The sequence below is a fragment of the Homo sapiens genome, chromosome 8, assembly GCF_000001405.40.
Source record: "Homo sapiens chromosome 8, GRCh38.p14 Primary Assembly".
Lineage (NCBI taxonomy): Eukaryota > Metazoa > Chordata > Mammalia > Primates > Hominidae > Homo > Homo sapiens.
In genome coordinates, this window is record NC_000008.11 from 29,570,064 (window position 1) to 29,586,232 (window position 16,169).

Sequence of the window (16,169 nt, forward strand, 5' to 3'; positions counted from 1 at the left end):
ATGGGGGAAACTGCCCCCATGATTCATTTATCTCCACCTGGCCTTGCCCTTGACATGTGGGGATTATTACAATTTAAAGTGAGATTTGGGTGGGGACACAGCCAAACCATATCAAAGGGTCTGTAACCAATGTCTCACCTTTCTGTTACTTCTCAGTCTATCTATTCAATACTTAGATTCTTGATTCCTCTTTTCTCTGAAACTTCTTGGGTCATGAATTTCAGACCCACAATGTAGTGCCTGAAGTCAATGGCATATTCATCCTTATCTCTCTCCTCCCATTGCTTCCTTCTCTCTCCCCCCCATTGCTTCTGTGACTCCACATCCATCTCATTTTTCTCTTATTTCTCTTGGTCCTTCTGGTTTCTCCTCTGATTACATATATTTTATTTTATTTATATTTTTGAGACAGGGTCTTACTCTGTCTCCCAGGCTGGAGCGCAGTGGTGGGATCTTGGCTCACTGCAACCCCCACCTCCCGAGTTTAAGTGATTCTTTTTTTTTTGAGATGGAGTCTTGCTTTGTCGCCCAGGCTGGAGTGCAGTGGCGTGATCTTGGCTCACTGCAAGCTCCACCTCCTGGGTTCATGCCATTCTCCTGCCTCAGCCTCCTGAGTAGGTGGGGCTACAGGCACCTGCCCCCAAACCCGGCTTACTTTTTGTATTTTTAGTAGAGATGGAGTTTCACCATGTTAGCCAGGATGGTCTCAATCTCCTGACCTCGTGATCCACCCGCCTCAGCCTCCCAAAGTGCTGGGATTACAGGTGTGAGCCACCGTGCCTAGCCTTAAGTGATTCTTGTGCTTCAGCTTCCTTTGTATCTGGGACAACTGATGCATGCCACCATGCCCAGCTAATTTTTATATTTTTAGTAGAGAAGGGGTTCTGCCATGTTGCCCAGGCTGGTCTCAAACTCCAGACCTCAAGTGATCCACCAGCCTTCACTTCCCAGAGTGCTGGGATTACAAAAGTAAGCCACCACGCCTGGCCTGACTATCTATCTTTTAAATGTATTTTTTAGGTACTACCACTCTCAGACTTCTCTTCTTCTTGTAGTCACCGAGCAATCTCCATCCATTCCAGAGTTTTTGTTGTGCATTAAAAAAAAAAGAAAGAAAGAAATTTCTACATGTTGCCAACTCTCCAATCTTATGCCCTTGGCACTGACTTTATTTGTGAGTTTCAGATCCACACATTCAATTGCATATGAGGCATCTCCAGATTAATACTGCATAGGCACCCCAAATCAATGTTTCAAACTGAAACCACTTCCCCTAAATCTGCTCCCTAGCCTACTAATGAAAATGATGTTGAGAGGGAAGAAATTACAGTTTATATTGAAGTGTAGAAAGTTTGTAGGGGGGGAAAGCAAGATGAGGGAGGTTTGGTTTAAAGAGAAACAACAGTCTAGAGGACACAGCCTAGAGGACAGAGACTTGGGGACACAGGCTAGAGGATGCAGGTACAAGCACACAGGCTTGAACACACAGTTTAAAGGACACAGACTCGAAGACACAACCTGTAAAACACAGAGGCCAGAAGAGTTATAAGTCAAGAAGAACTTGTAGAGGGGACGGAGGTCTAGGCTACAACTGAGGATGAGACTCTGGGGAAAAGAGCAGAGCAGTGGCTTCTGTCCTAGAGCAGAGATGATTGATTTAGTGAACTGCAGGAGCAGTGCCCAGGAAGTCATCTGGCAGAATGAGGGAGGCATTGGATATTGGTGAAGGGGTAAACACTGTGCACTGTTGAAAGGGGGAATCTTGGGCTGGGTGAGGTGGTTCACACCTGTAATCCCAGCACTTTGGGAGGCCGAGGCAGGTGGATCATGAGGTCAAGAGATTGAGACCATCCTGGACAACATGGTAAAATAACTCTACTAAAAATACAAAAATCACCTGGGCATGGTGGCACACGCCTGTACTTCCAGCTACTCGGGAGGCCGAGGCAGGAGAATTGCTTGAACCCAGGAGGCTGAGGTTGCAGTGAGCCGAGAGGGTGCCACTGCACTCCAGCCTGGGTGACAGAGCAAGACTCTTGTCTCAAAAAAAAAAAAAAAAAAAAGGGTGAAGCTTGGTACTTACATGACTGCACAAAATTTACCATGCCAGGGTTCCAGTTAAGTTCAATAATGTGAATAGCCAACACTCAATATGCTAGATCCTTTTTCCTGAAACTTTCTTAGAAAGGCTGGGCCAGGGGGAAAGGCTACTGAAACTTACCAGCTATTGCAATATTTTCTGTATGGAAGCCTAAAATCACCAAAGAGTATGCAACCCTTTGAGGTCAAATATCATGGCACTTGCATTTTTTGTAACTCCTTCAGCACCTGAGTGTACTAGACACATAGAGAGGCTTCAATAAATAATATTTGAAAAGAGCTGACCAAGTAATTGTGTCGATTATATCCCCAGCACCTGCAATCCTCTTTGTTCTTTCCACTGAGCCAATTAAATTTGTCATTAGAATTAGGGAACGGCTGAGGTTGGGGACTTGGTAAAGAAAAGGAGAAAAGAGGAGAAAATGTCCTATCAATACTTGTGGATTTTTTTTCTTTTGTAAAACTAATTGAAAGGCATTCATTTATAATGGAATTTTAGACCGCATATGTGGTGATTCACGCCTGTAATCCCAGCAGTTTGGTAGGCCAAGGTGATAGGATCCCTTGAGGCCAGGAGCTCAAGACCAGTCTGGGCAACAAAGTGAGACCTCGTCCCTACAAAACTTTATAAAATTAGCAAGTAATGGTGGTGCATGCCTGTAGTCCCAGCTACTTGGGAGGCTGAGATGGGAGGATCACATGAGCCTAGGAGTTGGAGGCTGCAGTGAGTTATAATCACACCATTGCATACCAGCCTGGGCAATAGGGCAATTCTGTCCCTAAAAGAATTTTTTTAAAATAATAATTAAAAAAATAAACTTTTACTGGAAAACACACAAAAAATGGGAAAGCACCTATTCCCATGTTTTATTTACAGTGCTCGATTCTCAGAGCAGGCAAAGATATCAAGGAAAATCCCGCATCTTCATCTATGGTCAGGTTATCAGCCCATGATCTCTAACAATAAAATTAACCTACTCAAAGAGAAGTTACTGCCTTTTGAATGGTTTTTGTCATTACCATTTGAATGGTGAATCAGCCTCATGGAGCACCCATGGCTCTTGCCTTTACATGAACAGCGTGGAATTTCATTTTCCTCCTAGCCTCTTCCTAGGTTGGCTTCACTTTGGCACTGGTGTGTCAGCCTACTCTTGTCCTGCCCAAAGCAATCGGCATTACTCTGTCAAGGGTGAGATCAGTTTCTGATTCTTATCTACAGATTGTGTAAGGAGAGTTGGCATTGGAGAGCCTTAAGTTGCTCCTCTAAATGTATGTTAAATGCACTGCAAGGTGAAAAGTCCTTGAATTTTTTAAGTGACAGGGCAATGGACTTAAATAACAGAGTGGGTGAGAGGGTGGTAGTGATGATGGTGTAAAATGAGTTGTAAATCAGTTTTTTCCAACCAAGGGTTCTCCTCTCTCTTATCTCCTTTGTAGCCCATTTCCTTCCTCCAAAGATTTTCCCTGTTTGAGTTGTCTATGCTCCTGTTCCCCTTGCTGTTCATGGTCAGGGCAGCTTCTAGGGAACCATGATAATGGCACTGATACCATGAAAAGATGTGTAGTGGGCCCAGTGTGTGTTACCCCACAACCTTGGGAAGCTCGGAGTCATGACCCTCCAGGGATAGGGAGGCTTTAAATGGAAACTGTTCCTAGGACAGCCACTCTGCAATGTAATTAAAGCCCAAGACTAAAGAGGCAGAGGCCTCCTGGTACAATTTCCTGCCCTGATCAGAGGTTAAGAAAAAACTTGTTGGGGGAAGGAAAGATCTTTCTGCATCCTAAAGTCATATCATGTAATTTTTACCTTATTTACATGGGCTTCTGCCCATGAAATCCCTCCAGTTCAGGTCAACAAGGTGTTTTTTTTTTTTTTGCCCTAATATGTTCCAGACACTAGGCAAAGAGCTAGAGATGTAAAGATGAGTAATATCAAAGTCTCGCCCTTTCAGTAAAAGACAATAATAGATTTGTAACTGATGAAATTAGAACACCGTTAACGTATAATCAGTTTATTTATGAGATATGTGAACCAGAGGGCTTGGGGACACAGAGTATCTGGGCAGGTATTACAGAGGCAGTGACATTTAAGAGATAAATAGGGGCTGGGCGCAGTGGCTCATGCCTGTAATCCCAGCACTTTGGGAGGCCGAGGCAGGCAGATCACCTAAGGTCAGGAGTTCAAGACCAGCCTGGCCAACATGGTGAAACCCCATCTCTACAAAAAATACAAAAATTAGCAAGGCACAGTGTTGCGAGCCTGTAATCCCAGCTACTCAGGATGCTGAGGCAGGCGAATCACTTGAATCCAGGAGGTGGAAGTTTCAGTGGGCAGAGATCATGCCACTGCATTCCAGCCTGGGTGACAGAGCGAGATTCTGTCTCAAAAAAAAAAAAAAAAAAGAGACAAATAGGATTTTCTTAAGCAAACAATGAAGGAAGGCTGTCATTCAATACAAAGGGTAAAGTATCTGTGCTCGAGGAGTTTGCAGTCTATAGTAGCGCGCGAGCGCGCACACACACACACACGTTTATCATTCTAAAAAGTAGAAAACAGCCTTAGCTAGGAGCAGAGCTTACAGAGGGCTGCATACTGAACCCAGGGGATGTAATCCCTGTCATCTAAAGAAGGAGGACAAAAATTGCGAGTGATGCATTGGTACAATGAAGGCCGAATATGATCTGTGCACCAGGAGGAATACTCTGAGAGACTGGGGGCAGAGAGATGAGGGAGGCATACCTTATGTGCAGGAGTTCTCTTTGGGCAGGGCATGAAGGGTGAGGGAGACTTCAGAAGTCAAAGAATAGTGGACATCCATCTCTCCTTCTGTGCTTGCCAGGGACCCTTCGTGCCTTCAGAATTATTCTCTGTCCCTTGTGCTTATCCCCTGTACTCTGTCCCATGCACAGATCCTTTATGTTCTGTTATTCACTTGTTTGAATGACAGCCACCCTCATTGTTTGCTTAAGAAAGTTCTGTTCATCTCTTAAATGTCACTGCCTCCATGATACTTGCCTAGACACTCCAAGCCAGGTGGCAGAGGTCTGAACATCTCCTTACCATGAATAAGAGGCACTGTGTCAAGGGCAAAGGAAAGTCCTATTAGGGCATGTACCTCCAACCCCCCTCAGGACATACAAACTTTCCAAACTTTCAGAGGCTTGCCCAGGGCTCTCACCTACCTTCCTCCTGCTGGTGTTTCAGGCTACTCATGTTCAGTAAGGATCTCCTTTGAAATGGCCAGAAGAGCTAAGCTCCAGGACCTTGGCGTCAAACTGGCAAAAATGCTGTCTATGTCAACACCAATGCAGAGTCGCAAGAGAAAGGCTCTCTGTACATAGCTCTATAGGTAAAAGAAAGTAATACTATAGGTAAAGCAGTAATGTAGGAAAACTCAGGCAGTCCCTTGGAATTTGTGGATTGGGATAGAATCAATACAATTGACCATGAAGTGTTTGTGCATCATGAATTATACACAGGACAGCCTCCTCTCCAGAAGCTTGTGAGCAGGTTCAAAGTAAAGAAACAGATACATGAAAAAGGAAATTTCAATGCAAGTGTAAACCGAGACCTCCCAAGTATTGAGTGGTAGGATCGCCTCTGAAATGGAAGAAAAGGGCCACTGGGACTAGATGATTTCCCTTGACCGTGTTTTTACATCCATCATTCTGTGAGTCTGACAATAAATACCTTAAGGTCAGAGCTTTATCTTCCAAACAGGCTTTCTTCTCTTCCTCTGATTGCAGTAACATCAGAAAATCATTCAAAAGAGTAACAATGATGTGAATTATAGATCAGTTATCTGCAATATAGCAATGTGTTATTATCTGGGACACATGATGTTCTGAATATTGGCTAGTGAATTTATGAAGCTCCTTTACTCGTAAACAGGTTAGGTCCTTAAGGTTCTTCTTAAATTAAGTTGTTTGCAAGTTCAAAGTTTCTCCAAAGAAGTGATACTTGGCCTTTTTCACCACTCTCAATTTTCCCTTTAATTTTTATGTCTGTTTCCATAAGAGTTCTTTCTCTTGTTACTAGGATAGTCTCATTATTTTTATTATATTAGATATGAGGAAGTTAACAATATTTACAAAATACCTTAAAAAACCAACAAAATTTCTACCCTTCATTGACTGAAGTCAAGTGGAGACTTGGTCTTGGTGAGGCAGAGGGCACTCTGGGTTTTCCTAAATGTCTGTAGCCTCATATACAAGATTCAAGGAGGATAGTTGTATCTCCGAGTCACTTACAGGCATGAAGAATAGTCCCTGAGCTCAGGAATTATGACCTTGCCACTCTTGGCCATCTATCCCTCCATTTTGGGGGCTCAAGAGGAGGCCTGAGGTACCTACTTCTCTCTACCTTTCCATACTTACAGTGTTAACACCAATATTTGTTTTGAGTTTAGCAGGACTAATCTCATTATGCCCTCTGTATATTTCAGTTATCATGGGAGTGCCAGCCTGGCAGGTCACCCTCCTCTCACACCTTCTAATCCCTCTATGGTTCTGCATCCCCACGATTCTGTCCTCTTTCCCATTCCTATCTCCTGAACCCCTTCTTCTGTGCCTCTGTAATTCCTGTTACATTATGAACAAAATCCCATACATCTTTAATCTCTTCTCTTCCCTCCAAATCTCTCCCCAGGACAATGCTTACCCTGCAGCCCCTCAGGGTGAGGATGTTTCTCTCCTAGCCTTTGTACCCCTGGGCCTGCCTGGAGGAGAGCTAAGTGTTCTCCCCGAACCTCACTGCCTCCTAAAGGCCTCTCCCCACTCTCCCCTGCAAACAGCACCAGCTTTGAATCCCCCATCAGATTATATCACACTATCAATACTCTTCACTGTTGCTGCCATGGATGAAGGGGGTCCCTCTCTGATTTCTTCGAGATTTTAGCTTCTGATTTGCTGTTGGTCTCTCCACTTTTCCTCTCCTTTTAATGTTTGGTGATTTTGGAATTCTCATAGATGATCTTTCCAACACCCAGGACTCTCCGTATCTTGACCTCTCCTCTGATGATTTGTCCTCTGCTCCTTCCCTTGCTCACTCCCGTGTCCTATTCCAGATCAGTCCTCAACAATTGCACCTCCCCTATATTTCAGGCTTGTGCATCCCAATCTCAGGCCACCACCTCCTCTCTGTACAGCTTGGTCTCTCCGAGAGCCTGACTCCAAGAGTTAATGACCCCACTGGAAGCTCCCATTCCCTCTATCCTACCATTTGTTCATTATTCCGCATCCCTTTGGGCCTTCTTTCCCCTCCTTGCCCAGCTTACACCCCATGGCTAATTGTTATGATCACTCCTTTGCAAAAATCCTTAGCTCCTTTGGCCAGAATCACAGCCCTGATTAGGCATGTGCAGCTGAGTAGCTGAACATGGCTGGAGGAAAGCCCTCTGCCTCACTCACTGGGCTCACCTTGAAGTCACAACTACAATCCTCGGTTAGGTCTTTAATGCTGTCAGAAAACAGAACACAGCATGTTCCCAATTCCTCTCCCACAATCCCAAACAATTAGCTCACGATTTCTCTTGCCTCCTCAAACCCTTGCTATCTGGCCTCACTCTTAGCCAATGATTTGCTTCTTCCTTCCTAAGAAACATAAGCAGTTGAGAGAGAACGTCTGCAGATGGCATGGCCCCATCGCCTCCCACCCCCATCTGTGCCCACACCCCTGCCTTCCCACCTACTGCAGAAGGACTCTCTGTGTCCCCATCTTAAGTTAATCTCTTAGTTTTTCAACTAGATCTTTTCCCCCTTTTGTTTTCCTAAAGTTATTGTTCTACAACTGTTCACTTCTCCCTTTTGCATCATTCTCCCTCTTATAAAAACAAACAAAAGTCTTATTTTAACTCCACTTCCCTCACCAGCTATTGCCCTGTGTTTTGCCAAGAGAATTCCTTGAAAGAGCTGTTTGAACTTAACTGTGTTCAATTTTTCCCGTCCCTCTTTCATTCTCTCTAAACAGGCTTTCACGTCCCTTATTCATCACCAGGGGCTGCTGGTGAGGCCCCATTATTGACTCTGATCATGGCCAATGGTCCTCCTCCTCTAGTTGACTTATCCACAGCATTCGGTCAGTTGGTCACTTCCTCCTCCAGGAAACAAGCTCCTGGGTTGGTTTCCAGGGACTTGTGCCCTTGCCTTTCCTCCTACGTGGCTCATGCTCATGCTCTGTCTTGGTCCTCTCTGCTGGCTTCTCCTGCCTACTTCCTGTTCCTCCTTTCTTTTCTTTCCACACTCCCTCCCTTGGCAATCTCAGTAAGTACCAAAGCTTTAAACTCCATTTATACGCCAAAGGCACCCGAAATCAAAGTATATCTTAGTCCTTGCTCCGGGACCCCAAACTAAAAAAATCCAACTGCTTTCTTGACACCTCTACTTAGAATTTGGTGGAACATGTCTCACACTTGAGCTCTTGACTTCTTTCTCCAAGCCAGCTTTGCTTCAGGCTCCTTCAGTTGGCAGCAATCCTATCTTTCCACTTGCTCAGGCCAGAAAACCTAAGTTTTTACTCACACGTTGCCTTCCTATGAGGCCTACTTGACACCATTATTTAGAGCTGCATGCTATTTCCCTGCTTACCCCATCCTCACTTGTTCTATTTTATTTCCACAGCCCCTACCTCATTTTAACATACTTTATAATTTATTTATCGTGTCAGTTGTTCATCACCTGTCTCCCCACTCTCACCCTCACCCCTGCCTAGATAGATTATGACTCCCCCAGGGCAGGAATTTTGTTTGTGTTCCTTATTGATGTATCCCAAATGCCTGGCATGCAGTGTGTGCTCAATGTATCTTTGTTAAATGAACAAAATAAGAAAATTAAGTCATAGAGCCTAGAGCCAATGGCAGGAAATGAAATAACTGAATATGGTCACTCAGGTCATCTGTTTGTGGCACACAGTAACATGAAGTCACTAGGTATGATGCTTTGTACATAAGAGCATGAATGTTGATGTTTGTTAATAGGAAAGTTTCTGTGATTTTTTTTTTTTTTTGAAATGGAGTCTTGCTCTGTCACCCAGGCTGGAGTTCAGAGGCATGATCTCGGCTCACTGCAAGCTCTGCCTCCTGGGTTCACGCCATTCTCCTGCCTCAGCCTCCCGAGTAGCTGGGACTACAGGTGCCTGCCACAATACTCGGTTAATTTTTTGTATTTTTAGTAGAGATGGGGTTTCACCGTGTTAGCCAGGATGGTCTCGATCTCCTGACCTCGTGATCCACCCCCCTTGGCCTCCCAAAGTGCTGGGATTATAGGCGTGAGCCACTGTGCCTGGCCGTTTCTGTGATTCTTTTAAGTGAAGTTGAATAAATTCAACCTTAAGTTCAGTGAAAAGGGCAGAGCTTAGCTTCCTTATCTTGTGTTCATTGGAAGTAACAAACACTCTGTTGTTCTTGGGCCTTGTAATACTCCCAGGCATTTATGAGATTATTAGTGTATACTGAGTAGTATGCTGAGCATTGTACTATGGGTTTGTTGCTCTGTCAGGAGCCTGGGGCAAGCAGCGATGGCTCTGATCTCCCTCCCTGCCCTTTTCTAATGTAGAATGCATGGATACTATGAGAGTGTTCCAGAAGTGCACTACAGCTTTGGTTGAATCTCTCGGGCTGGTGAAGAGGTGACAGAGTGGAGCCAGTTTGCTCCTTCCTCCACACAGGTTGTTTATGGTCTGTTCCAGGCTGTGGCTCTCAGCTGGTAACTGAACCTGTTCTGGTGGTCTGAGCACAGGCGCCCTGGAGAACTACAGAGATATGATTTACCTTTGTTTGACTGTGGCTCTTTCTCAGCCATCCCTTTCTGTTTGGCGGTGGTGACTGATGGTAGGTTACAGTGACCCTCTGGATACAATCCAGAACACACAAGGAGCAGTCTTTGGAGGGCAGGGAAAAGGATTTTGGAAAATTAGGCGTCGGATGGAAGAGTGGAGGGGAGTTGTTCATGGAAGCAAACTGCTATTCCTGGCCCTAAACACCAGGGACAGGAAGTAGGGTGTTGGGCACATCCAGACCTAGGAGGCCTGTGGGAACAGGGCAGCCAAGGAGAGAAGGAGGCGGCACAGCCAGCCAGAGCTTACAAACAGCACAGCAGCCAAGATGCATGCAATATGTCCACCAAAGGAATTGGGGAAGTGGGAGAGGACACCCCACTGGTGGTGACTTGGCATAGACACTGTCTGCTCTCTGAACCCCATGCCCATGCGCCACCTTTTCTCAAATTGGAGTCTTTGGACTAATTGAAAAAGAATCACTTGGAGAATGTGTTAAAAATATACGATCCTGTGCTGGGTACAGTGGTTCATGCCTGTAATCTCAGTGACTAGAGAGGCTGAGATGAGAGGATCATTTGAGCCTAGGAGTTCAAGGCTGCAGAGAGTTATGATCGTGCCCCTGCACTTTAGCCTGGGTGACACAGTGAGACATTGTCTTTACTTTTTTTTTTTTAAGTGTAGAGTCCTGAGCCTTAAATTCTGACTTGGAATGGAGTATGACCTAGAGATCTGCATTTATACATATTCCCCTGGTGACTCTTTCCCGTGGTAAAGAGTACTGTTGTCTAGGCCATGGACCATCTTTCCTTTGAGGAGTGGTCTCTTCTTCTGCTGTCCCCATGCCAGGCTTCCCTTGGTCCGTTCATTCCAGGGGATGGCTATGGAGTCAGTCCTCAGAAGCTCTGACTATCCTCACATCCACACACTCACAGCCCAACTGGTTGGCTCTAGACCACCTAAACTCATGGAGTAAAAAATGAGATTCTTCATCTGGTTCCCCACAGCCAGCTTCCTTCCCTGACATACCCCTTCCTTTTTCTGAATAGCCATGCCCCAAACCTCTGACATATTCTTAACTCCCCTTGTCCTTTAGCCCTGCCTCCATCTAACTAGCTCCCATGGGGATGGGCTCTTCCTTCACAGTGTCTCTCACTTTTATGGGGTTCCTCCCTCTCCATTTCCTGAAGCTGGGTTTAGGGCATCCTTCCCTCCTGTGGGTGGGGACTCCAACCATCCTGGTTGCCTAGGACTGAGAGAAGCAGGACTTTCCATGCTAAAACTAGAAAGGCCCTAGGCAAACCAGAACGAGTTGGTTGTCTATCCTAGACCACTGCAGTGAGTTCCTCCTTGGCCTCCCGGCTTGTAATCTCCTCTCTCCACAAGCCATCCCTTCCCACACTGTCTCTCACTGAATTTCACCATTCATAATTTTGAAGAAGTCATTGCTCCTGCCTCCAAAACTTTCATGCTTCAAGAACTTAATTTGCTTTCTCCTTAGTTTAAATTAATTTCTGCAGCATCCAAGGCCCCCCAACAATCTGGCCTTAAACTGCCTGAGTCAGCTCAGGCTACCCTAAAAAAATATCACAGACTAGGTGGCTTAGATAACAAGCATTTACTTCTCACAGTTCAGGAGGATGCAAGGCAAAAATCAAGGTGCCAGCAGATTTGGTTCCCAGTGAGGGCTCTCTTCCTGGCTTGCAGATGGCTGCCTTCTCATTCTCATATGGCAGTGAGAGCTCTGGTCTCTCTTCCTCATCTTATAAAGGCACTCATCCCACCAAGGGGAACTATCTCATAGTCTCAGCTAAATCTACTCACCTCCCGAATGTCCCACCTCCAAATACCATCACGTGAGGGCCTCCACTTAGGAATTTTTGGGGATACAAACATTCACTCGATACCACTGCCTTACTGGGTGCATCTTCCATGATTCCCCTGCACATTGCCTTTTTCAAACTGAGCTAGCTCTTCCCATAGGACCTGGTCACTTCTGGGCCTTTGTCCCTGTTATTGTTTAGCACAACTACCTTCCTGACCCATTCTTAACCTTTTGAAATAATGCTTTCACTTCTTAGATGCCATTTACCCGGTCACCCAGCCAGAAGTAAAGTCCCTCCTCTCCACTCCTACAATGCCTCCCTTTTATCGTCTGCATGGCAATTGTCATTGCCTTGGCATGTACTGACTTGCTACCTGCCTTCTTCCCCTACTTGATACTAAGTCCTTCAAAAATAGGGACCTTCCTTCTTCATTGTCTTTAATCCTTCAAAGCTCATCAAATCTTGTGTACGGAAGATAATTGGAAAACACACATTCCGGTGGAAGGAACAAATAAATAAACTTCCATTATATTTTGTTAGACCAAATATTTTCACTCATGAAGAAAGAAGGCATTAGGGTGACACATGACTGTGGAGGGGCCCTGCTCTCAGGAGCACACGCTCAGTGTGCTGTGATGATAAGGTAAAGCCATGCCATTTAGATTTCTCCAAAGAAGGAATAATAATTTCTGACATTTGTTGCACACACACTCTGTTCTGGGCACTGTTCTAAGTGCCTTGTAGATGCTAACTCATTTAGCCTCAGATCAACACCGTGAACCCAGCGCACAGTGGTGAGCTGAGTGGGCCTGAAACCCACCGCCATTGCTTACTGGATGGTGTCCTTGGGCAAGGTGCTTATCCTGTATACTTCAGTTTTCTAACATGTAAAATGATGATAAAAATAGTACCTAATTCAGTGGGGTATTGCAAGGACTACCATAATTTATTAAATCCAAGATGCCACCCCTTGAAAGGCGCATCACTACTTTACATACCACTGATGAACACCACATCATAGATTGTTAGATAAAGCCTGACTTCCCAGATGTTAGAATGGGGAATAACATGCATCTTAGACATAATGAAACCCTTTGCATGGGTAGTATTATTTTAAATGAATGATCATAGCAGTACAGGCAGAATTGTGTCTCTTCCCCTAATTTATATGTTGAAGTCCTAACCCCCAGTACCTCAGAATGTAATTACATTTGCAGACAGGATCTTTAGGAAGGTAACTAAGGTTAAATGAGGTCATATGGGTAGACCTTAATCCAATATGACTGACATCCTTAGAAGAAGATAAAATTTAGACCCAGACCCAGACACAGAGGGAAGGCCATGTGAAGACACTGGGAGATGAAGGTGGCCATCTGCAAGCCAGGGAGAGAGGCCTCAGAAGAAACCAACCTTGCCTGCACCTTCATCTCAGACTTCTAGCTTCCAGAACTGTGAAGAAATAAATTTCTGTTGCCTAAGCCATGTTGTCTGTTGTTCTTTGTTATGTCAGCTCTAGAAAACTTATATAGACCTCTTACTAAAACTTTCAAAAACCACAGAGCAAGGAATTGAGATAAGGGACCATCATGCCTTAACAAGAGACCTGCCAACCCAACCCCAGCCGTACCTTGTATCCAATTCCAGCACCAAGTTAGACCTTCCCTTCCACTTAGGTCCCTGGGCCATTTGTGGAGAAGTCCACCATTCACTTGGGACATAACAGCTACATGTGAACTATCACCATTAGCACTCGACCTCTTTTTTTTTTTTTAAACTGAAATTTATGAGGGCATAAGCAGAAAGTATGAGAAGCTCTTGAGTGTTGACACACTATTAGCAGAACTCTGACGACAGTACCTGGCCATGCTTAGCTCATACCATCTTTAGCGAAACTGACAGCAGATACTTGACATTAAAAGGGTTTGTAACAGCAGATTGTCCAGATTAATTAGATCTTCAAATCGGACTGACATCGTCTCTCTTTCTTTTTTCTAGAGTGGTTTGACATTTGTGCATAGTATGAAGAAAGATCATCAAGGCTGAAATGTGTCTGCTAAGAGGCTTCAGCTCATGTTTGCTAATCTCCTGTATGGTGAAACACTGGCACCCAGACAAACCCTCATTCACATCAGAACAAAGCGCTAGTTATGTGTGTTGAAATTCCTTAAAGAAAATGTCTTGCAGGCTGCTGGGGAGTGCGTGAATGCTGGAAATGCTTCACCAAGAGTTACTCAATGTCCTGGGAAGACGGTCTGCTGGCATCTGAGGGCTCACCCTAGAGAAGAGTGGTTGTACTCCAGGGCACATGGGTCTGGTGAGGACAGAGAAGCATGGGTGGATGGGTGGGTGGAGATGAGGGTGGATGTTTTCTCTGTAATCGTCTCCGGCCAGGCTGGAGCCCGAACCAGACTACCCACTTTATTAGTCCATTGAGAATATCTAAAGTCAGGCTTCTCAGCACAGCTGCCATTTCCCCTGCTTGGGACCAGATTTTCCTGTTTTCTGAGGGCTTCCAAGTAAGTTGGAAGTTCCTTGGGTTTCCACAACTTTGACTTAATGAAGAAACAAGGTCAAGAATCAGAGGAAAGGTTTTTGGATGGGCCTCAGAGGTCTGAAATGGTTAGGTGGGAGTCTAAAGGTATAGGAGAGAAACTAAATCAGTTGTAGCCCCAGCTGTTTGGAGATGATGCCAGCAGATGGGATTGAGTAAGCGACCACAGGTTGCAGAGGGTGGCAGATGGGAGGCGGATGTGGAAATGGGGTCCCAGTCAGAAATGAACACCACTAGAGGAGCAGGAAGAAGGGCCAAGCAAGAGCAGTGGTTCTCATTGTGGTTTCTGGACTAGCGGCGGCAGCAGCACCCACGATGTAGATGTCAACTCTTAACTCCACTCGGAAACCCACTGAATCAGAAACTCAGGTGGTGAAGCCCAACCAGCGGTACTTGAATAAGTCCTCCAGTGAGTCTGATGGACACTAAAGTTTAAGAACCACTGAGTCAGGGAACCCCAAGGGAGGCAATTGCTAAGGAACTGCAAGAGAGGAATTAGGGGCTGGGCCAGGGGCCAGGCGCGGTGGCTCACACCTGTAATCCCAGCACTTTGAGAGGCTGAGGCAGGAGAATGGCTTGAGCCCAGGAGTTCAAGACTAGCCTGGGCAACATAGTGAAACCCTGACTCTACAAAGAACACAAAATTGGCCAGGCATGGTGGTAGCCACCTGCAGTCCTAACTACTCGGGAGGATCACTTGAGCCTGGGAGATGGAGGTTGCAGTGAGCTGAGATCACACCTCTGGGCTACAGCCTGGGTGATAGAGCAAGACCCCATCTCAAAAAAAAAAAAAAAAAAGACGGCAGGATTAGGGAAACTTCTAGAATGAGGAGGAGATGGCCCTGAAAGCACAGGGGGACAAGGAGAGTGAACTGAAAAGTAGAAAGAAGTTCTTCTCCATAAGAAAAAAAGGTGATGAGAGCTACAATAAAAAACTACTAGTCACAACGGCTGCAGCTCAAGGTAGCCTGGATTCTTGATAAGCACACACCCGCCACTGGTGTCACGCTGAAGCTGGAAGGACCGCCTCTGCTAACAACAGTGAAGAACAAATGTGGATGCAAATGGCTCTTAGAAGTCAGACAAAGGGAAGTTGCATTGCTGAGATTCACCTGCAGGTCCCAGCATGGCTCATTTGTTCTCTGGAGTAGTGGGTTGAATGGTAGCCCCCCGCCCCCATAGATATCCTAACCCCTAGAATCTGTGAACGTGATCTTATTGTGGCAGCAGGCCTGTAATCCAAGCTACTCTGGAAGCTGAAGGGGGAGGATTTCTTGAGGCCAGAGGTTCGAGACCGGCCTAGGCAACATAGCAAGAGACCCCTTCCATCTCCAAAAAATGAAGGATATCCAGATGAGATCATCCTGGATTATCTGAGTGGGTCTTAAATCCAATGACATCCAAATTTATAAGAGATGAAAGAGGAGGAAAAGAGAGATATGCAGAGGAGAAGGTGATGGGAAGATGGAGGCAGGAATTGGAGTGACACATCCATAAACATGTAGACATAAAGGGAATGCCTGTAGTCACCAGCAGTGGGAAGAGGTAAGGCGGGATTGTCCCGCAGAGCCTTCAGAGGAGGCATGGCCCTGCTAACACCTTGATTTTTGGACTTCTGACCTCCAGAAATGAAAGAAAATAAATTACTATTGCTTTAAGCCACCAAATTTGTGGTGATTTATTATAGCAGCTCTAGGAAATTAATATACCTGGCTTAAGGGAAGAGGCATGGGATTTGAAGACAGACAGACTGGTGTCTTGAACTTTTTGAATGTTACTCCCTAGGGTGGGATGTGAACTCTGAGTCACAGCAGTCCCCACGTGGCTTGAGTCCCTCATTACTTTAGCTATCTGCCTCCTATGAGCATCTTAGCTTTGTATCCTCTGGGTAACTTCACCTCTCCAGTCTTCTCCACCTTTG

At 45.4% G+C, this 16,169-nt stretch overlaps 3 annotated features.

The window, feature by feature from the left end:
- Positions 1–100: an enhancer, noted in NCBI's record as "active region_27202". NCBI's record gives its function as "activates an Ori minimal core promoter by ATAC-STARR-seq in GM12878 lymphoblastoid cells {active_cell/tissue: GM12878}" and the evidence as "EXISTENCE:reporter gene assay evidence [ECO:0000049][PMID:35858748]".
- Positions 2,872–3,391: an enhancer, noted in NCBI's record as "NANOG hESC enhancer chr8:29430452-29430971 (GRCh37/hg19 assembly coordinates)". NCBI's record gives its function as "activates a minimal SCP1, AML or CMV promoter by ChIP-STARR-seq in naive H9 embryonic stem cells {active_cell/tissue: H9 hESC(naive)}" and the evidence as "EXISTENCE:reporter gene assay evidence [ECO:0000049][PMID:30033119]".
- Positions 14,944–15,643: an enhancer, noted in NCBI's record as "OCT4-NANOG-H3K27ac hESC enhancer chr8:29442523-29443222 (GRCh37/hg19 assembly coordinates)". NCBI's record gives its function as "activates a minimal SCP1, AML or CMV promoter by ChIP-STARR-seq in naive and primed H9 embryonic stem cells {active_cell/tissue: H9 hESC(naive and primed)}" and the evidence as "EXISTENCE:reporter gene assay evidence [ECO:0000049][PMID:30033119]".